The sequence below is a fragment of the Homo sapiens genome, chromosome 1 (assembly GCF_000001405.40).
Source record: "Homo sapiens chromosome 1, GRCh38.p14 Primary Assembly".
Taxonomy (NCBI): Eukaryota; Metazoa; Chordata; class Mammalia; order Primates; family Hominidae; genus Homo; species Homo sapiens.
This window is the reverse complement of record NC_000001.11, coordinates 165856345-165873743: the sequence shown is the minus strand read 5'-3', so window position 1 is coordinate 165873743 and position 17399 is coordinate 165856345. Positions and strand designations below refer to the sequence as shown.

General features: G+C 42.2%; 1 protein-coding gene across 2 annotated transcripts in view, besides 3 other annotated features; it reads right to left on the bottom strand.

The window, feature by feature from the left end:
• Positions 1–17399, bottom strand: part of UCK2 (uridine-cytidine kinase 2) — an 84005-nt gene that overhangs the window by 37875 nt on the left and 28731 nt on the right. The window lies entirely within an intron of this gene.
• Positions 11830–12330: an enhancer, noted in NCBI's record as "H3K4me1 hESC enhancer chr1:165830651-165831151 (GRCh37/hg19 assembly coordinates)". NCBI's record gives its function as "activates a minimal SCP1, AML or CMV promoter by ChIP-STARR-seq in naive H9 embryonic stem cells {active_cell/tissue: H9 hESC(naive)}" and the evidence as "EXISTENCE:reporter gene assay evidence [ECO:0000049][PMID:30033119]".
• Positions 12331–12831: an enhancer, noted in NCBI's record as "H3K4me1 hESC enhancer chr1:165830150-165830650 (GRCh37/hg19 assembly coordinates)". NCBI's record gives its function as "activates a minimal SCP1, AML or CMV promoter by ChIP-STARR-seq in naive H9 embryonic stem cells {active_cell/tissue: H9 hESC(naive)}" and the evidence as "EXISTENCE:reporter gene assay evidence [ECO:0000049][PMID:30033119]".
• Positions 16438–16732: a silencer, noted in NCBI's record as "tiled region #1747; K562 Repressive non-DNase unmatched - State 8:EnhW". NCBI's record gives its function as "represses a minimal TATA promoter and a strong SV40 promoter by Sharpr-MPRA in K562 cells {active_cell/tissue: K562}" and the evidence as "EXISTENCE:reporter gene assay evidence [ECO:0000049][PMID:27701403]".

Here is a 17399-nt window from a genome sequence, read left to right as displayed (position 1 = left end):
GTGGGAAAAGCTTCTCCTGAGGCTTGGCAGGAAAAACAGGGAAATCAGGAAAGAGCAAGTTTTTGACAGAAAAGGTAAAGGACACTCAAAAGAAAGGGTTGAGAATATGGAGGTTTTACTGATGATGAACTACGACAGCCCAACGGGAGAAAGGGTTTTCACACTGCAAGAAGTGAAAAAAGAGAAGGTCAGGAAGATATAAAGAATCACACAGAAATGGGAAGCTTCACTTTTTCTCATTATTAAAAAATGAACGTAATAATCTTTTTCTAAAAAGTACAAGTAGGTAAAACAAAGACAGAAATGATTGGCTAAGTCCTACTGCTAGAAATAAATGTAGCTACCATTTTGGCAAGCATTTTTCCGTGTTTATATGCATGCATGGTAGCTTGTGTCCAAGACGGTGGCCATCAGTTTCTTCCCTCCCTATGTGGGCAAGATATTCCTCCAGTGAGGGGTGAAGTCTATTCAATCAATTGCATACTGACTTCTTTTAAGATAACTACATTTTATTGTATCTCGCTATTCTCTATCTCAGAATTCTATAATCTGTCCCTTCTTCATTATTAAATTGTGGCAACCTAAAACCAGACATGAAATTCTGGGGGTTTTTTTGGTTTTCTTTTCTGTTCGTTGGTTTGTTTTTCGGTAGTTCCTACCCTGGTCTTTCTACTTACTTTACTTTTTATAATTAACATTGCGCTGAATAAATATCTTACTCCACTTGATCTCGACTGCCCTTTTCAAGGTAGTTGCTTTTTGCATCTCCAACGTGATGCAAAATTCACAGGGTACAAAATAGTATAAGGCACAAAGCCTGTCTCCTTCCTACTCTATCTCCCAGCCGGATTGCTGATCACTTCTCTGGCAGCTACTGTTTTCAGTTTCGTGTACATCCCTTCAGAGGCAGTCCCTACATATAAAACCATGTGTGAATGATTTTTTTCAAACACAGACACTAATACACGCTGTCTGCACCTTCGTTCACTTATATATCTCAAAGATTATACTGTCAATACTTTTAAGACTGCCTCCTTTTTAAGGGCTTCAAGGTATTCCACTATATGAAGGAACTGCAGCTAGTCCTCCATTGACAGACATAAATTATGTCTCAACTTTTTCTAAAATGAACTTAATGTATGGATATACATATATATTTGTAGAATAGATTTCCAGTAGTGGATTTGCTAGGGCAAAGAATCTGCATTTTTTAAAATTTCCATATATATGCCCAGCTAGCCCCCACCATCAACAATTTATATATAATGTACTATTTCCCCCTCACTCTTAATGATATTTAACCTTTGGTCTGTTTAATTTGCTGTCCTATTTTAAGTGAGGGTAAACATCTTTTATATGCCTAAAAGACGGCCAGGCATGGTGGCTCACACCTGTAATCCCAGCACTTTGAGAGGCCAAGGCGGGCAGATCACTTGACATCAGGAGTTCAAGACCAGCCTGGCCAACATGGCAAAACCCCGTCTCTACTAAAAATACAAAAATTAGCTGGGCATAGTGGCACACACCTATGATCCCAGCTACTTCGGAGGCTGAGGCAGGAGAATCGCTTGAACCTGGAAGGTGGTGTTTGCAGTGAGCTGAGATTGCACCACTGTACTCCAGCCTGTGTGACAAGAGCAAGACCCTGTCTCAAAGAAATAAAAATAAAAAATAAGTAAACTGGCTAGAGCAGCCGGCAAAAAGAGAAAAAAAAAAAAGACTATGTATATGCCTAAAAGGCTTCTGTTCTTCTGGAACTGGTTTGTTGATATCCTGTCCTCACTTCTCTGTTGATTTATTGGTCTTTTATTTCTTATTGATTTATAAAAGCTCTTTATATATTAAGGAAACTGGCCATTTCTCATTTGCCTCACAAATTCTTTCTAGTTAACTGTCTTTTTAAGTAGTGTTTTGCAAAGAAATTCTTTATTGATGCAGTTAAACTGATTAACCTAAACTGATTTTATCATGTTATATTCAGAAACAATTTCCTCAACCAAAGATTTTTTTTTTTAACTTCCCTCTGTTATCTTCTCAACTTCATGTCTTCCTTACTCCTCGGTAGCTCACTTGTCCTTTCTTTGCCTTCAGCTCCCAAGATCCCAACCACATCAAAGGCAGACCACAAGAGGGCACCAATCCAGCAGCTCCTTGAACCCTGAAAAGGCAGGCCAGGCTGACACCCAGAGACCACAGAGGGCAAATAACCGAAGAGGAAATGAGATCTAACAGAGTGGGTTGTAAGGGACTTCCTGTGCATATACAGAGCGTTACAAAAGACCTGCAGCTGTGTCCCTGTGGAGTTCACCAGGAAAGAGACACAGGACCTGCTTTCAACCCTCTAGCCCACAGCTGCACACATGCTAAGGGATCAGGCCTGTGGCACAATTGGAAAAGCATGAAGCAGCAGCAAGTCTGGAGTACAACCCAGATGAAAGCCATTTGTTAAACTATTTTTCTTTAAAACACGAGGTATATTTTCCCACCTTGTGCAGGGTATCCTGTTAAGAGTATGAAATCCTGTTTTTTTCCATACCATGAGAAATGGGTACAATAAGCAAACGCACACGCACACACAAAAAATTCACTCCCCCTACACAAAAAGAAACCATACTAAACACTAACAGGGGCCAGGCGAGGTGGCTCACCCCTGTAATCCCAGCACTTTGGGAGGGGCAACGCTGGCAGATCACTTGAGGTCAGGAGGTCAAGACCAGCCTGGCCAACATGGTGAAACTCCTCTACTAAAAATACAAAAATTAGCCAAGCATGGTGGCACATGCCTGTAATCCCAGCTACTTGGGAGGCTGAGGCAGGAGAATGGCTTGAACCTGGACGGCGGAGGTTGCAATGAGCCAAGATCGTGCCACTGCACCCCAGCCGGGGCAACAGAGCAAAACTCCTTCTCGAAAAAAAAGACTAACAAGGAATTTTTGTCCAATGAAGCCTTCTGTAAAATAATAACACATATATAACTGAAGACTGGATAGTAAGCAGCATAATAAATACATGTTTCTAATCCTACCTTGATAACCTCCTTCCACGTCACTTGAAATGGTTCCTACAGATTTCTAGGAAACAGTACACAGAAAGTTCCCTCAGGGAAGCTCCCTGTAGTGTGCTGTCTACCCATAATGGAGCAAGAGGCTTGAATCTCTTCCTCCTACATATTAAAGCAGAACCCTGTAGCCAGACACTGAGGCTCAAAAACTCCTGTGAGCAGAAGTATCTTCATTCACATATTAAAATTGTCATCCAGCAAATGGTACTGGGAAAACTGGACATTCAAATGAGAACCCTGTAGCCAGACACTGAGGCTCAAAAACTCCTGTGAGCAGAAGTATCTTCATTCACATATTAAAATTGTCATCCAGCAAATGGTACTGGGAAAACTGGACATTCAAATGAGAACCCTGTAGCCAGACACTGAGGCTCAAAAACTCCTGTGAGCAAAAGTATCTTCATTCACATATTAAAATTATCGTCCAGCTAATGGTATTGGGAAAACTGGACATTCATATGCAAAAAAAAAAAAAAAAAAATGAAGTTAGACCTTTCCTTACTTTACACCATACAAAAAAAGAAACAAACAACAACAACAAAAGAAACCACCACCTCAAAACAGATCAAATACCTAAACTTAAGGGCTAAAACTGTAAGTCTTAGGAGAAAATATAAAAATAAAGCACTTTGACATTGGATTTGGCAATGATTTCTTACATGTAATACTGAAAGCACAGGCAACAAAAGAAAAAAATAAGTAAGATGGACTTCATCAAAATTTAAAACTTTTGCCAGGCACAGTGGCTCAACCTATTAATATAATTAATATAATTCCTGTGCTTTGGGAAGATTGCTTGAGGCTGAGAGCTCAAGAATAGCCTGGGCAACACTGCAAGACGTCCACAAAAAAGTTTTTAAAAATTAGCTGGTGGTGGCTCACGCCTATAATCCCAGCACTTTGGAAGGCTGAAGCAGAGGATCGCTTGAGCCTGCAGTGAGCTATGATCACGACACACTGCACTCCAGCGTGAGTGACAGAGCAAGACCCCCATCTCTTTAAAAAAAAAAAAAAAAAAAAAAAGGCCCATGATGAGATTCTCTTTCATACCCATTAGGATGGCAATTTTTTTTTTAAGAAAGAAACTAGAAAGAACAAATGTTAGCAAGCATGCGAGGAAAAGGAATTCTTGTGCACTGCTGGCAGGAATGTGAACTTGTATAGCCACTGTAGAAAACAGTATAGGAACTCCTCAAAAAACTAAATATAGAATTACCGTATGACCCAGCAATACCATTTGTGGGGATGTACCCAAAAGAACTTAAAGTTGAAACTCAAGTAGATACAGGCATACTTCATTTTATTGTGCTTCACAGATACTACGTTTTTTTTACAAATTGAAGGTTTGTGGCAACACTGTGTGAAGCAAGTCTTGTTAATACCATTTTTCCAATAGCATGTGTTCACTTTGTATCTCTGTGTCACATGTTGGTAATTCTCACAATATCTCAAACATTTTCATTATTTTATTATATGTTATGGTGATCTGTGATCAGTGATCTTTGACATTACTATTGTAATTATTTCGGGGTGCCACCAACCACGCCCATATAAAATGGCAAATTGAATCCATTAATGTACATGTTCTGACTGTTCCACTGACTGGGGCATTCCACTGTCTCTCTCCCTCTTCTTGGGCCTCCCTATGATTTCCTGCGACAGAACAATATTGAAGTTAGGCCAATTAATACCCTACAATGGCCTCTAAGTGTTCAAGTAAAAGAGTCACATGTCTCTAACTGTAGATCAATGGATAGAAATAATTAAGCTTAGTGAGGAAGGCATGTCGAAAGCCAAGACAGGTCAAAAGCTAGGCCTCTTATGCCAAGGAGTCAGCCAAGATGTGAATGCAAAGGAAAAGTTCATGACGGCAATTAAAAGTACCACTCCAGTGAACACATGAATGATAAGAAAGCAAAACAGCCTTATTACTGATACGAAGAAAGTTTGGTCTGGATAGAATATCAAACCAGCCATAACATTCCCTTGAACCAAAGCCTAATCCAGAGCAAGGCCCTAACTCTCTTCAATCCTATGAAGGCTGAGAAAGATGAGGAAGCCACACAAGAAAAGTTTGAAGCTAACAGAGGCTGGATCATGAGGCTTAAGTTAAGAAACCATATCCCTAACATATTGTGCTAGATGAAGCGGCAAGTGCTGATGTAGAAGCTGTAGCAAGTTATCCAGAAGATCTAGCTAAAATAACTGATGAAGGTAGCTACACTAAAGATTTTTTCAATGTAGAAAAAACAGCCTTCTATTAAAATAGTATGCCATCTAAGACTTTCGCAGCTAGAGAAGTCAATGCCTGACTTCAAAGCTTCAAAGGACAGGATGACTCTCTTGTTAGAGGCTAATGCAACTGGTGACTTTAAATTGAAGTCAATGCTCATTTACCATTCCAAAAATCCTAAGGCCCTTGTATGCTCCATCTACTCTGCCTGTGCTCTGTAAATGGAACAACAAAGCCAGTATGGCAGCATATCTCATTACAGCATGATTTACTGAATATTTGAATCCCACTGTTGAGACCTATTGCTCATAAAAAAAGATTCCTTTCAAAATATTACTGCTCATCAGCAATGCACCTAGTCACCCAAGAGCTCTGATGGAGATGTACAAGGAGATTAATGTTATTCTCATGCCTGCCTACACAACATCCCTTCTGCAGCCCATGGATCAGAGTGATTTTGACTTTCAAGTTATTATTTAAGAAATACATTTCGTAAGGCTACAGCTGCCATAGTGATGCTTCTGGTGGATCCGGGCAAAGTAAACTGAAAACCTTCTAGAAAGGATTCACCATTCTAGATGCCATTAACAACATTTGTGATTCATTGGAGGAGGTGAAAATATCAACATTAACAAGAGTTTGGAAGAAGTAGATTCCAAGCCTCATGCATGATGTTGAGGGGTTCAAGACTTCAGTGGAGTAAGTCACTGCAGATGTAGTGGAAACAGCAAGAGAACTAGAATTAGAAGTGGAACCTGAAGATGTGACTGAATTGTTGCAATCTCATAATAAAATGTGAACAAATAAGGAGTTTCTTATGATGAACAAGTTTCTTCTTACGAAAGTAGTTTCTTGAGATGGAATCTAATGCTGAAAATGCTGTGGGCATTGTTGAAATGCTAACAAAGGATTTAGAATATTCCATAAGCTTAGTTGATAAAGCAGTGGCAAGGTTTAAGAGGACTGACTTTAATTTTTTTTAAATTTTTTATTTTTTGATTGCTGGGTCGAAAGGTAAAATTGACTCCCACTTTGAAAGAAGTTTGACTATGGGCAAAATGCCATCAAACAGCATCACATAAAACAGAGAAATCTTTCATGAAGGAAAGAGTCAATCAACGTGGCAAACTTCATTGTTGACTTTAAGAAATTGCAATAGCCACCCTAGCCTTCCGGCATCACTATCGAGGCAAGACACTCCACCAGCAAAAAGATTACAACTTGCTGAAGGCTCAGATGACCATTAGCAATAAAGCATTTTAAACTTAAGGTATCTACGATTTTTAGTAATAAAGCATTTTAAAATTAAGGTCTCTGCAATTTTTTTAGACATAATGCTACTGCATATTCAATTGACTATAGTATAGTGTAAACATAACTTTTACGTGCACTGGAAAAGAAACAAAAAATTGTGTGACACTTTACTATGATATTCACTTTATTGCCGTGGTCTGCAACTGAAACCACAATATCTCCGAGGTATGTGTATATTTGTACACTCATGTTCATAACAGCATTATTCACAACAGTCAAAAGGTGAAAGTAACCCAGTGCCTATTGATGAATAAATTGATATATACATACAATGATACGTAGCCTTAAAAAGACAATTCTGACATACAATACAGTACGATGAGTCTTGAGGAATTATATTAAGTAAAATCAGCCAATCACAAAAAGGCAAATGCTGTGTGATTCCACTTAACTAAAGTACCTAGAATAGTCCAATTCTGAGTCAGAAAGTAGAATGGTGGTTGCCAGGGCCTGGGGATGAGGAAGAATTATTATTTAACAGATACAGAGTTTAAGTTAGAGAAGATGAAACAGCTTGGGAAATAAATGGTGGTGACGGTTGTATAACAACATGAGCATGTCACAGAACTGTAAACTTGAAAATAAATTTTACGTTATGTATATTTTGCCAGAATAATAAAATTATCTATTTATATTATTATTCCTCTCACTGCCACTAAACTGAATATATCAAGGGCAGGGATCTTATGTTATCAATCTGTGAACACTTATTCCAGTGCCAAGCCCTCAATAAAAGTACAATGAACCTAAGTTACATTTTTCAGGTAGAGTCTCTAAAACCAAGATGTCCTCCAGGTTCAAAGTGGTGAAAAGTAGCATCTGAAACCACAATTGGGCAGGGGAAACGTTGTCCTACAGCCATTTTCACAGTTATAGAAACCAATTCACTCTTAACAAATACTTTCAAAAAAAATCAATAGCTTGCATTACTAACTGTCAACTTCAAGCCAGCCTCCTAAGAGGTGTTTACTTCCCGGTATATATGCTAAGAGCACAGCCTATACTCCAGTCTCCCAGTTAACTTCCTCTTCCAGGAAGACTTAAAATACTGCTCCCTGAAAGTACCTTTGCTCCCTGCTCCTCCCCTTCTTCCTCTCCCTATTCCCCGTACTACCTAGCCCACCACTCAGTTTTAGGCAGCCCTTCTTCTGTTTCCAGCCACACAACAAATAACTGGTTTGGGAAAGCGGATCAGATCTTTCTGCTTAGCAGGTGGTAAGCATTGGGTTTGATCTCCTACCTTTTTAGAATCAAAAGAACTGGCCTGAGTTCTGTCACTGTTGATGAAAGCAAAGTCTCATTGTGCGAGTGTTCTTCTGTAATTGGTCGTTACGACTGTGGTTATCCTAGTTAGCTTACCCCAGACCCTGGCTTCCAAGCTCTGTCATCAGAGTGCTTGGCTGGTGATCGGGGCATGTTCATTTCAGACCTCCTTTACTGTCTCCTCAAGGTACCGGCTTTGTTTGAAGAGCGTCCTAGTGCAACGGAATGGACAGTCTGTCGGTAGCTCTCTTTTTTGTGTGGGAAAGATGTTTAAAAAGGCAATATAATATAGGAAGTCTATCTTCGTACATTAAAAAAAGAAAGAAATATGATTGAATTGACAAAGAACATCAATTGTCCCCCCTAAAAAATGGGGAAAAAAGCAATGTCAAAAGATGATGGGAATGACTGTCTTCCTGGTTTTTGCCACCGCAGATCTTGCTGCTGCACTTGCCATGCTTTGCAGGGGGTGGAGGGCCTTTCAGTACTGTCACCCCTGCAACACACTACATCTGGGAAACTACTCACAGTGCTACCAACAGCAAGCACCAAGAATTCTGCACACCAGTTTGGCAGGAGTATAACAAATGTCTAGCCTTTTAACCAATGAATTCCACTTCTAGGAATTTATCCTAAGGAAATAATTAAAGAACAACAAAAAATTAACTTAGGAAGATGCCCGTCATTGCACAAAAGTGGATTAACAAACTACATGGTCACCAATAATGGGGGTTGTTAAGTTTTAGTACACTACACATATGATGTGATGTGTACAGCTACCAAAGGACATTTGAAAAGAATATTTGGTAATATGGGAGATGTTCAGTATACATTAAGTTACCAAAAGTGTGTGTGTGCATGTGTGTGTGTGTAAAATCTCAATTTTGGCCAGACACAGTGGCTAACACCTGTAATCCCAATACTTTGGGAGCTGGGATGGGAGGCTCAATTGAGGCCAGGAGTTCAAGACCAACCTGGGCAACACATTGAGAACCTCATCTCTACAAAAAGTAGAAAAAATAAAAATTAGCCAGGCATGGTGGCTCACCCCTGTAGTCCTGGACACTCAGGAGGCTAAGGTGGGAGGATCACTTAAGTCCAGGAGGTCGGGGCTGCAGTGAGCTATGATCATGCCAATGAACTCCAGCCTGAGTGAAAGAGTAAGACTGTGTCTCTAAAAAATAAAAATTAAAATAAATAAAACTAAAATCTCAATTTTATCCAAAACCTTTTTGTCTAAAACCTTACTTATATATGTAAGTTCCATACATACATTTTAAGAAGTTTAGAAAGAAATGTAACAGTGTTAACTATTAGTTAATGGTTAGGTTTGGGTCATGAAAGTTTTTTCTTCTTTATACTATTCTATTCTAATTACTTTTTGTATACCCAATAATCAGGCTGAAGCATAATGAGGTGAAATCCTAAACCCCATACACAATATACTGATACCTATAAAAATAATTAATAAAACATTTGTTTCTGAAATATCATTTAAAAAAAAACTGTTCTCACTTGGCACCCTGGGTGTGACCATCACAAAAGCCAAAGAAGGCACAAAGAGGTGGCAGACCTAGGACCTGGTGGAGTCATGTACCTGGATATTGAAAAATAAGGCAGGACCCGGCTGGGCGCGGTGGCTCATGCCTGTAATCCCAGCAATTTGGGAGGCCAAGGCGGGTGGATCACCTGAGGTCAAGAGTTCGAGACCAGCCTGACCAACATGGTGAAAGCCTGTCTCTACTAAAAATACAAAAATTAGCCAGGCATGGTGGTAGGTGCCTGTAATCCCAGCTACTTGGAAAGCTGAGGCAGAAGAATCACTTGAACACGGGAGGTGGAGGTTACAGTGAGCCAAGATGGCAGAGCAAAACTCCGTCTTAAAAGAAAAGAAGGAAAAAAAATAAGGCAGGAACTACTAAAAAACTACATGACTTTTTATAAAACACATAAGGTGACTGCCATATTTAACAAATACGTTATATAAGTGATATATAATACATGCTTTCTATATAAATTTCAGAGAATGTAATTTTCATCACAAACCAAATCAGTCTGTAAACTCTCCATCAGAAACCACTAGATGACCTCCATGAGTCTACTACTAATATTCTGTATTGCTAGAGCACCCTGCTAGAGGTTATTTCAGCTCAACTGTACTAAGGTAAAATCAAAACTAATTTCAAGCATGCTTTTTTAGCATGTGGTTCCAATGACAACTCCCTTTATCTCTCAGAAGCCCTTGGTTTGAAAAGAATGTTCTCTTCTTTACAAAATGCCCTACAGGCAGTCCCCAACTTACAAACACACTGCCATCAAAAAGTTCACTCACTGTGCAACACGGAAACACATTTTCCCAGACAAACGGGTGAGGATTAGGTTCCCAGCATAGCTTCTAATGCCAACTTAACCCATACTGCTGATGAAATACTGAAGATCTGCTTAACAAAATCAGGAAACAATAATACTGCTGCAAATCTAAAACTGAAGTAAAAAAGAACACCAAAAATGCTGGTGCTTGCAGATCCAGAAAAGTCTATGTTTCTGAAGCATTTTTCCTCACGCCATTCACAACAAATGGCCAACATGGCTTGTTCTCCAACACACAAGCTGCCCACTCTGTGCAGACATCTTTACTCCAAACTTTTGCCTTGCTAATTTTCCATGTGTCTCCAGAGATGAGCCCTCAAGTGCATAAATCCTTATGGGGTCAATCTGCAAAGTAGATCTTCAGCACACCTGGCACCTGGCACGGGAGAAGACAGTGTCCTCTGATAGACATCACAATAGCTGTCTATCTCTTTTCTCTGGACCCATTGGCTCGCACATAATAGGTTTCCTATGTTCCCCATCTGGCTGGGGACAGTTGAGAACAAGACCATCAGAACGATCTCTAAGTAGGCAAATGCCTAACAAAATCCCTAAAAAATAAAGTTTTTCTTTTCTACACAGGGAAGTCCTATTATTTATTATTTCTACACACAGATCTGACAAGCTTCTTTTCCAAATTTCAAAAACCATAAACAGGGAAGTGAAAGGGAAGGTATCCAACATTTATTGATGGCCTCTCTCTCTGTGTCGGGAACTTTTTAAAATTCTCATTTACAAGAGGAAACTAAGGGTTTAAGTGTCTTGTAAAGGTCCCTCGGCAACAACATAAGACCTGTGGGCTGAAACTAGAACTCACTTGGCTGGCTCTAAAGTCAGTGGAGGCTGGGTTGCAGCCAGCTGCCACCTGATGTACTACTATACGGAAGTCAAAAACTGACATCAGACTCAGCCTGCAACGGGCCATTCACTCACTGTTCCTTAAGGACACAAAGCAGTGCTTGAAATACTTCCCAAACATCTCTCTTGTAAGTTTTCCCAAGTGCTGGCACTTCAGACGGGCTGTGAAACACTGCTAATCCTGAAGCTCCAGGCAGATGGGGTTTTTACACCAAAGGACCTCCCATGATCTTCATTCGCCTCTGCCTTGTGCCTACATCAAGCGTGGGCCAGACTACACCCTATGGATGTTTTCTGATCTGGAAGCAGCACTGTCCTGAACCTGGCTGCCCTACCAAGAGCAACTTTGCTCTTCACTTGTTTAGAATGCAGCATGAAGAGACACTCCAGGGCAGCAGTGAAGAAATTAGCTTCAGAGAAGTTTATCATCTGAGACTACGGTACTCTAAAGAAAGGGAAAACAGAGATTAAGAGCCTGTGCATATGAACAAAGAGATTGATGAGAGCCAAACGAGATGACTGATGGTTTCCGTCAAGTATTTAGCAAGGATGATTTAGCACCCTTCTACCAAGGGTGACGAGAGGACTTATGGCTTCCATTTCAGTAAGCAAGGACCTTCAAGTGGAAGTCATGAAAGAATAAAAAACGATGAGGGCTTCCATCAGAACTCCTTCTACCTTCCAAGGACTGCCAGCTAATTATCAGTTAATTGAAAATGATAACATAATTTGCTGAAATTAAAAGTGGTATCATGAAATCTGCGTGTATTTTGCTAGAGGCAGGACTGGCATGGTGAAGAGAAAAATAAGCTTAAGTCACACAAGCTGATGTCTGAATCCAGATGTGCTGTCTGACCTTGGACAAGGTTGTTAACCTCCTTTAACCTGAGTTCCTTCATCTGTAAAATGGCCAGGTAGGGAATGCCTATCTTAGCAGGCATGTAATAAACAGTCAATAAACCAGAGCTATTGAGTTTTACTGTTGTTTTTTTTTGTTTTTTTTTTTTTTTTTTTTTTGAGACGGAGTCTCGCTCTGTCGCCCAGGCTGGAGTGCGGTGGCGGGATCTCGGCTCACTGCAAGCTCCGCCTCCTGGGTTCACGCCATTCTCCTGCCTCAGCTTCCCAAGTAGCTGGGACTACAGGCGCCCGCCACTACGCCCGGCTAATTTTTTGTATTTTTAGTAGAGACGGGGTTTCACCGTTTTAGCCGGGATGGTCTCGATGTCCGGACCTCGTGATCCGCCCGCCTCGGCCTCCCAAAGTGCTGGGATTACAGGCGTGAGCCACCGCGCCCGGCCGAGTTTTACTGTTTTTAGGATACAAATTATATGAAAAGTTGCTGCTAAGGTTGGCATGCCTGTGTCCCCCTAAAATGCCTGTGTTGAAACTTAATCCACGTATCAATAGCGTTAAGAGGTGGGACCTCTGGGAGGTGATTAGGTCATGAAGGCTCAGCCCTCATGAATGGAATTAGCGCCCTTTTAAAAGAGACTTGGGGGATACCTTTTGCCCTTTCCATCAAGTGAAGACCATAAAAGGCACTAACTATGAAGCAGAGAATGGGCCCCCCACCAGACACTGAATCTACTGGTGCCTTGAACTTGGGCCTCATAGACTCCAGAATTGTGAGCTATAAATTCCTGTTGTTTATAAATTACCCAGTCTAAGCTATTTTATTATAGTAGACTGGACAGATGCTTTCTTTTATTTTTCTCAACAAAGCAGTTTCAAGTATTATACTTACTCCCAGTAAAGTATCAAGTATTTTAGGCAAATCATGCAGACTTGGTTCCTACTCTCTTGGAGTTGACCACCACGGCTCTAAGGATTATAATAGAAACAAGGGAGTCAAGAATAGCGAATAGATATGAGATAAGGTTAAGAATTCACTCTGGGGCGGGGCGCTGTGGCTCACACCTGTAATCCCAGAATTTTGGGAGGCTGAGGCGTATGAATCACTTGAGCTCAGGAGTTCCAGACCAGCCTGACCAACATGTTGAAACTCTGTCTCTACTAAAAATACAAAACATTAGCCAGGTGTGGTGGTGTGCACCTGTAGTCCCAGCTACTTGGGAGGCTGAGGTGGGAGAATCACCTGAGCCTGGGAGGTCGAAGCTGCAGTGAGCTGCAATTGCACCACTGCACTCCCGCCTGGGCAACTGGAGTGAGGCCCGTCTCAAAAAGTGAGACCCTGTCTCAAAAAAAAAAGAATTCACTCTGCACAAACATCATGCACAACTGCAGGGAGATGAATTATAACCCTAGGTCACAGTCCCCTCTACTTTTGTCAACAGTAGAAAAGCAATTGGAAAAGCAAGGAAGGCTTCAACAGGAAGAGGGCAGCTTCAAAGGTGTGGTATGTGGCCTTCAAGACAAGGCTGTGGAGGGTGGGGACAAAGGTGGATACAAAGAACTAAGAAGGTGATCCTGAAAGGCAGCAGGCAGGTGTGATCAACACAGCCTGAAAACAAGCAGTGGGACACAGGGTGAGCATCTTGAATCTGCCCCGCAGTGCAACTGCGTGCACAGGGTTAAGGTGGGGACAGAGGACTGATCAATGTCCAGCAGTCTGGACTATAGCAAAATATGATGGTGGCTTGAACCTCCTTCAAAGCTGTGAGCCCTGACGCAAACAGCAACCCAAAGAAGAGTAAAGACTGGTCCCGCACAAGGAGACTAGTGGGGAGGGTTATTGCAGTGGAACGGGAGGCCTGCTGTGATGGGCAAAGCAGGGTGGACAAGGTGGGCAGGGGAGGGCCAGAGAAGGCAAGAGCTTCTTCCCCAGAGTTGAGTTTGGGAAGGGACTTTCACTTCCAACCCATTGATCTTATTGAGACAGGGTCTCACTCATGACTTAGTTCAGCCTTGAACTCCTGGGCTCAAGTGATTCTCTCCTACCTCAGCTTCCCCCTACTCCTCCCCACCCAGTAGCTAGGACCACAGGCATGCACCACCACACCCTGCTAATTTTTTGTGGGTTTTTTTGTAGAGACAAGAATTTTACCATGTTGCCTAGGATGTTCTCAAACTCCCGGGCTCAAAGTGATCCACCCACCCTGGCCTCCCAAAGTGCTAGGATTACAGACGTGAGCCACAGCTCCCGGCCCCACTGATCTTTCTGACAGGGTGCTATTTAGGTCTGAAATGCAGGGAAGGGTTCAGGGATCTGGGCCCAGAGGGCAGAATGTCACTTCACTGAGAGCTGGAATACATGTAACAAGAAAAGTTCAGTTAAGGGGTTCAGTTAAGGTTAACCAACTCAGACACCAGCGGAGGACCAGCAGCGAGTCTCCAACACAGGAAGGAGACCACAGCTCTGGACTGGTGCATGGAGGGGCGGGGCGCAGGAAGGGGGTCCTCCTCTAGACATCCAGAAACTTCAGGGGTAACAAATGGTGTTAACCTCCATTCCCAGGTTGCCAGCAGCCTCCTCCGCAGGGGGAAATGAGATGATGCACCCACCCACTCAGAACACCTGCCCCAAGTTCAAAGTACACTTGGAAAACATGGCCTTTTTATGTAGATTTAATTACAGTCCTCCATTCCCTGTGTCATAAACGTTGCAACTCAGTGAACTGTCTTATCTTTTTCATTCTTCAAAACACACGGTTATTCAACATGTTGTAGCAATCCCAGCAGAAGATTTATCCAGCAGATGCCAATCTACAGAATTTGATTTCTGGTTTACGCAGCCCTTTCAACACTTATGTAGCTAACAAAATAGTCCCTGAAGGCCTCAGAATGATGAATATATAAAACAGGACCCGCTCCCACAGTCATTGTCACTGCTTTGAACACAGCTGGAATGCCTGGCTTCCCTGTCACCCTTGCCCCATCAGCATTCCATTTTCTTTCTTGCAGTGACCCTGGCCAGGTCACTGTGAACATCTTCTCAGAGATTGGGAAGGGGAAGTTCCTATGGCTCAGGGTCCAGAAGTTGCTGCAACTCTCCCTCCTCCCATGGGGCCTCTCCTGGGCTAAGGGACGAGTACCATGCAGGGAGTCAACACAGGGGCCCTACAGAAAGGGCTATGAAGTGGGCACTGCTGGCTCAGCAGACTGTGTGACATGTCCAGACACTTCTGCTTCATGACCTGGCATAACCTTCCTGGACTTGGGCATTCTCTCCGGGGACAAGTTCCCAGGCCTATCAGAGCAGCTGGTTGCTTGTTTGTTCACCTGTCAGCAAATCGAGCTAATGTAGGCAAGGCTCCCAAGGGGGTGGACTGGGAACCACAGCCATTCTGCAGGACACCCAGGGCAGTAGTGACAGACCCACCTACACACATAGGAGGCACAGGGCATGAAGAGGTTGGCCAGCCCACATGTGAATCCTTGGTTCCATATCTTACTGGTGGAGCAACTTCAGGCAGGTTACTTAACCTCTCTGAGCCTCTACTCTCTCCCCTATGACAGAGGTCCAGTACCTCACACCTCGGGATAAAAGTGCACAGACTATCAATCTTTAAGATGCATCTTGCACAGTGGCTGTAAACTCAACACATGCTAGTGGGGTCTTCAAACATCCACCTTATTCACACAACTGATACATCCTGAACTCATGAGTTTTTGTAATGGTCTGAAAGGAAAAAAACCTTTTTCCAATCCTAATACCATGCTTACTCCCTCTTTCTCAGAGTGCTAATTCTAGATGTCATGATCCACAAAACTCCTTCTGTACCAATTCTCTCAATCCCTCCAGCAGATACAGACAGTCTCTCCTAGTAGTCAGATCAGGCCTGGTGGGAGGATCTAACCTTTTATGGGGTGCAGTAAACACTGACAGCCTAAAGCAAACGTTGAGAGGGGTAAAAGGGAGAAAGTAAGGCCAACAGGAGTAGGGTAGAATGACAGATGTCAGCCAAAGCTGCAGGGGAAGGACATGTGGTATACAGTGGTAATGAGACATCATTCAAATGCTTCGCTTCGCACACAGGGCTGTCAAGCCTCAAACTGCTGTTCCTGCCTCTCACTCCTGCTACGTACCAGGTGTGAGCACACACTGCTGTTCCAAGCCCTCCGATTTTGTCTGGAAATGCCACCCAGCACATGCCCGCACCCCCTTTGCAATCTGCCTAACTCCTGCTCATCCCTCCAGCTCCAGCTCAGTCATTACCTCCTGTCATCTGCCTCCTCCAACTCCCTACCCCAGGCAATTGTGGCTCCCTCATGGGTGTCCCCACAGTACTCTGCACTCCAGATCATGCCACTTACGCAACTGCACTGTCATGGGTTATGTCAGTTATCTGTCTACTGCCTTACTCATCTTTGCAATGCCAGGTACTAGAGATACAACAGACACTCAATGTTTGCTGAATAAATTAATGTATCAGATGGTACTTAGTACCATAAGTCACCTACTGCTACAGTGGACCGTGATCAGCTTAGTACAAAGCATGATTCAAAGAGAAAAGGGTTCAAGTACTGGATGTGCCACTGGCTAGCTGCATGTGCTTGGGGAAGGCACTTCCTCTCTGAGTCTTAGTTTTGTCATGTTAATATGTAACAAAAGAGGGGTGAATAATACCATCTACCCCACAAGACTGTGGTTGACTCAAGGTCACTCGAGAAAGCAGATGTGAAGATTCTAGTAACTATAAGTCCTTTCTTCGAGTTGAAATACTTTCCCAAGCCCCTAAAAACATTCTCTCTGCAGAGAATGAAGACAAGGCACATGTATACCTGCCTTCTGAGCCTCATCTCTGTCAACATGTTCGCAAAAGTAAAAAAAAAAAAAAAAAAACCCTGGGGCCGCCTATGAGGGCCATATTTAACACATATCCTTAATTCTCAGGCTCTGAATACTTGTCCCAGTTGACATCTGCAGCTGCCAAGAGTGACATTTGACTCTGGAAGTGTGTTCCAATAAACTTGCCTATTAAAGCTTTCCAGCTCCCACTGGATAAGCCTAAGACTGAAGACTTAGGAAGGTGAACAATTAAATCACCTCCTGGAAAACTAACCATAAGCAATTTAATATAATCGTGTATCACAACTCCTAGTTCACTTACTGAAATCATTCAAAATCTCTTTTCCTAATAAATAACCCTCCGGCCAATTGCAAGATAAAAACACACAGGAATGTCAACTAAATTTTTAAACTAAGAACCAAGGGTAGTGTGGTTAAAAAGAGGGAGGAAGATTTTTGTTTTAAAGCTAAATGCCTCTGAAGCTCATTACAAGTTACTTGTGGGGTGGGGGTGGGGGGAGGAAATTTTAATGACAAAAAAAAAAAAAATCACCTAATACCCAAAATACCAGGAGCTGGGGATACAACAGGCACGTAATGTTTGCTGAATA